General features: G+C 47.5%; 1 annotated feature.

The window, feature by feature from the left end:
- Nucleotides 2,249–3,448: an enhancer, noted in NCBI's record as "MED14-independent group 3 enhancer chr19:34093822-34095021 (GRCh37/hg19 assembly coordinates)". NCBI's record gives its function as "activates an origin of replication core promoter dependent on BRD2, BRD4, P300/CBP and CDK7 cofactors, and independent of MED14, by STARR-seq in HCT116 cells {active_cell/tissue: HCT116}" and the evidence as "EXISTENCE:reporter gene assay evidence [ECO:0000049][PMID:35650434]".

A 5,281-nucleotide genomic window follows, 5' to 3' on the forward strand; every position in this document is an offset into this window, starting at 1 on the left:
CCACTGCACTCCAGCCTGGGTGACAGAGTGAGACTCTGTCTCACAAAGAACAAAAACAAAAAAGAGGTTTGACCTGAGAAATGGAGACACCTCAAAGTCCTAGAGGGATACACCCAGGGGGAGGACAAGGCCCAGCAGAAAGACCTTTGTCCCTCTGACCCCAGGTCCCACCAAGGAACCCAAGCTCTTGTGGTGGGGGGCCTACCTAGACCCCACTCTCAAGCCATACCCTGGCTCTGCTGGGCTTCCAACTGGCCCTAGCTGCCCCTGGTTGTCTTTATTTTCATAAGGATGAAAGCAATGCCGTGTCCCTGGCTTCTGGGACATCAAGGTCCGAGAATGATGGTAGACAGTGGATAGACCCCAATTTTCTGCCCAAGCCCAGCCTGGGATTCCTGGCTGGGGGCTTTGACTTGGCAGCTGGCACCAGGGTGTCTCATGGGGATGCAGGTGATGGTTTGAAATAGCCTTTGCAAAAATTATGACAATGAGAAGACCCACTGACTCTATCTTGCTTTTAACCTCTAAGCTGCCCTTGTTCATTTGTGGGCATAGACCAAGCTAACTTATGGAAGGAATTTACCTTATAGTTTAACTTCGAAACAAAGATAGTAACAGCCCCTTCCTGAAATGAACTCCCTTCTTGCCTGGGGACCACACCACCTAGGTAAAACTAAGGAATTAGCCACAAGATTAGAAATTATGGTTTAGGAGTCATGCAGCCAGAGGCCACAGGATTCCTAACTTCCCCAGTTGCTCCTATGGATAACATCACATTCATCAAACCTAAGATTGGTGTTTGAGACAGTTTTCAGACACTGCATTCCAATGGACCAGCTGGTGCCACCCAGACTGATAAACTGGCTCAGCTAGTTCTATGATCCTATCTAGTAAGAGAAGACAGCAACAAGAACCCACTTCAATCCCCCTATGATTTCATCGCCAACACAACCAATCAGCGTTCTCCACTCCCTAGCCCCCTGCCCACCAAATTATCCTTTTAAAACCCTAGTCTCTGAATGTTCAGGGAGACTAATTTGAGTAATAAAGCTCCAGTGTCCTGTTTATCTGGCTATGCATTTATTAAAGTCTTTCTCTATTGTAATAATGCTGTCTCAGTAGATTGGCTCTATCTAACCAGCAGGCAAGAAGAACCCATTGGGCAGTTACAGGCTGCTGAATGACAAGGCTGCTCTTCCCACACCTGACAGTGCCTCAGCCTCAGCTGGCAAAACTCATCACTTCACCTGAAAAGGGAAAAAACCCAGAGCTATCTCTGGCAATAGAAGGAGCAGAGTTTTCCTAAGCATCCAAGACAGACCCCAGACCCTGAACGAGGTAGGAGACTACTCATCCTGGCAACTGCTTACTCTGATTATGGGGTTATGAGGCCTGCTTCAAGGGAGAACTCTGAAGTTGCAGCTTTCCCTTTCCATGACAGACCTTGGCTCATGGACCACACCCCTGCCCCATCTCTGCTTGGCTTGTGTTTCATGGTCTGCATGAAGAACCAATCTAAGTCTGGTTTTGGCTTTATTTATTTTTGAGACAGGGTCTTACTCTGTCACCCAGGCTGGAGTGCAGTAGCACCATCACAGCTCACTGCAACCTCGACCTCCCAGGCTCAAGGTGTCCTCCTGCCTCAGCCTCTGGAGTAGCTGGGACTACAGGTATGCACCACCATATTTAGCTAATTTTTAAATTTTTTTTTTAGAGACGGGGTCTTGCTGTGTTGATCAGGCTGGTTTCGAACTCCTGACCTCAAGCAATCCTCCCACCTCGGCCTCCCAAAAGTGTTGGGATTATAGGCGTGAGCCAGCATGCCTGGCCTGGCTTAATGTTCATGTGCTTGCCCTTGCTGGAAAGAGAGCCTATTGGCAATTGATGCAGAGGGAGTGTTTTAATTAATGGAGCTGGCCTGAACATCAGGCTGGTGCAACTTTACTCAACGCTAAGGATGATCACAGCTTAACGTGGGGGAGAAGAAAGCAATGAAAGAAATAGATCAGATGAGGCAATATTGGGAGTTTATGAAGTCTGTGTATTTTCCAGTGGCTCCACAGTGATCGCTCTTAAACCGGCTGTCACCCCCGCATGAATTATCACCTCAACCTGGGAGGATGGGGAGGCCGACAAGACATACAACCACACACAAGGCACGGGCTCTTGCCTGGATCATAATTCTTCCTCATGCTGCTAAAACGGAGAGCGCTGCGATAGCAAAGAGGCATGTGGCCCTTGTGATATCTTCAGAAAGAAAAAACCCTGGGGGCAAGAGAGGAAAGAAGAAAGCTAAGAAATAAATAACAAAGCAGGATGCTATTTACATAGTGAGGGAAGGCCTTTGAGACTGAGCTCAGCGCCTTGGATGTCAGTAATAACTCAGTGATGGGAATAAAGAGACTCACTGCAAACCCACATCGCCTGAGATGGTATCAGCGATGTTTTTCTCTTTGTTTCCAGACAAATTCCAGCACAGCGATGGGAAGACAAGCCTGTCGAAGGGAATGGTGAGGTGGGGGTGAGGGTGAGTCCGGTGGTCCCCGTGAAGACTCAATTATGTTGGCTGTGAAGAGATTAATGAGAATTGAATTTTCTATTGATGTAAAACTGCCTTTTGCACCTGCTGCTGGCATCCTCATTACTGGTTTTCCATTACAGGGGATTATATGGTACAACGAAATAAACTTTATGCTTCCTGGGGGATGCTCTTAAAATGGGTTTACTGTACTCAAACTGGTGGTGAAGTGGGTTACCTGAGAGAAATATGATTTAATCCCTGTCTTTTCCTTTTGTGGACCAGAAAGCCTCTATCCCCTTCTGGAAATCACGAGGTGCAGACGTTTTCAGGTCTGCGGGCCAGGCTGAGGCTCTGCGAGGTATAGGCCCAGGCATGCCCTGCTTGCTCTGTCCCTAAACATCACAGGGATGATGAAGTTGAAGGAATCTTTGGCTTCCTGCATCAGAATGAATCACAGGGAGTGATGCTCTGGAAGAGCTGGCCCAGAGACCAGAGTGTAGGGAATTGGGGTCCTTGGGATTTCTGTAACTTGTCCTTTGGGAAGGAGGTAAATGTGTCTGTCGGTGGAGGCGTGAGAGGCATCTGTGGCCTTAGAAGATAATGAGCAAGTAAACACCAGGTGAGAGAAAACTGCTTCCTGTCCTGTGAACCACCTGCTCCTCCCTCCCTCAGTTGAGCTGGGGAGGCCAGGGTCCAGGGTGAAACCATCTCTGCCCAGGAAAATCTCAATAAATGCTTCTTTAAATTGTTTTAAGTTTTAGGGTACATGTGCAGGGTCCAGGGTGAAACCATCTCTGCCCAGGAAAATCTCAGTAAATGCTTTTTTTGTTGTTGTTTTAAGTTTTAGGGTACATGTGCAGGTTTGTTACATAGGTAAACGTCCCGTGGTGGTTTGCTGCACCCATCACCCCATCACCTAGGTATCAAGCCCTGCATGCATTAGCTATTTATCCTGATGCTCTCCATCCCCCACCAACCCCAGAAGCCCCAGTGTGTGTTGTTCCCCTCCCTGTGTCCATGTGTTCTCATAGTTCAGCTCCCACTTGTAAGTGCGAACATGCGGTATCTGGTTTTCAGTTCCTGTGTTAGTTTGCTGAGGATAATGACTTCCAGCTTCATCCATGTCCCTGCAAAGGACATGATCTCGTTCCTTTTTATGGCTGCATAGTATTCCATGGTGTATATGTATCACATTTTCTTTAACCAGTCTATTATTGATGGGCATTTTGGTTGATTCCATGCCTTTGCTGTAAATGCTTGTTAAATGGAAAATAGTAGCACCACCCTCAAGAGCCCTTACTCATCTCCAACCAGGATAAGTACTGATCTTTCAGCCTCTGCTGTTCCATCTGTTAAGTGGGCATAAACCAGGATGGTGGGGGCTATGGGAAGCCATTATTCTCAGCAGTTTGATGTAGACCTTATTTCATCGAAATCACCTTTATGATGCTACCTTCTAAACACAGCCCAAAATTGGATCTCCAAGAATGCAGGTGGTACCTTGTGTTTACATGAGGGTGCACTAGAACCCCATGTTATGGGGGAGCCCTGTGAGCTGGAGTGGGAAGCCTGGATGGGAAGCAGAAGTGTCAGAGGCCCACACACAGCTGTTTGTGCTTGTCTCTCCCTGAAGCGTTGTTCAGGATGAACCTATCTTGAGCCCCAGAGTCCACAGATGTCACTGCTTCTCCTGAGCAGCTGCCATGGCAGATGCTTTCCCGAGGCAGGGCGGGGGAAATGGTTGGGCAACGGCTGGGCACTGCCTTAACTTCTCTGAAGCATCATTAAATTTGTGTTCAAAGTGAAGATTGAGGAATTGGGCGCAGTGGCTCATGCCTATCATTCCAGAACTTTAGGAGGCTGAGGAGGGAGGATTGCTTGAGCCCAGGAGTTTCAAACCAGCCTGAGCAACATAGCGAGACCTCATCTCTACAATTTTTTTTTAAAAAATAGCTGTGCATGGTGGCATGTGCCTGTAGTCCCAGCTACTCAGGAGGCTGAGACAGGAGGATCACTTGAGCCCAGGAGTTAGAGGGTGCGGTGAGCTATGATCACACCACTGTACTCCAGCCCAGACAACAGAGCAAGACCTTGTCTATAAAAAATAAAAAAAAAGAGGCTGGGTGAGGTGGCTTGCGCCTGTAATCCCAGCACTTCGGGAGGCTGAGGTGGGCGGATCACGAGGTCAAGAGATCGAGACCATCCTGGCCAACATGGTGAAACCCCTTCTCTACTAAAAATACAGAAATTAGCTGGGTGTGGTGGCACGCGCCTGTAGTCCCAGCTACTTGGGAGGCTGAGGCAGAAGAATCGCTTGAACCCAGGAGGCGGAGATTGCAGTGGGCCGAGATCATGCCACTGCACTCCAGCCTGGTGACAGAGTGAGACTCCGTCTCGAAAATAAAGTAAAATAAAATAAAAATAAAATAAAATAAGAAAGAAAAATGTTTATTGTAAAATAAAACAGACAGAAAAAAATAAGTCAAACACATGTATAGCTTATGGAGTTATTATTACAGCCACCACCCAGACCAAGAAATAGAACTTTGCCAATGTCCCTGTTGTCCCTGGGAAGCACCTCCTGGGTTTCCTTCTAGTCTGAACTGCCACCTTCCCTGCAAAAATGACCCTCACATGACTTTTACAGTAACCTCTTTTCTGTCTTTCTTTATGTTTTTGTCAGAGTTTTTTGAACCAGAGCAACTCCATCTTGAATAGGGGCTGGGTAAAATGAGGCTAAGACTTACTTGGCTGTGTTCC

The sequence above is a fragment of the Homo sapiens genome, chromosome 19 (assembly GCF_000001405.40).
Source record: "Homo sapiens chromosome 19, GRCh38.p14 Primary Assembly".
Classification (NCBI taxonomy): domain Eukaryota; kingdom Metazoa; phylum Chordata; class Mammalia; order Primates; family Hominidae; genus Homo; species Homo sapiens.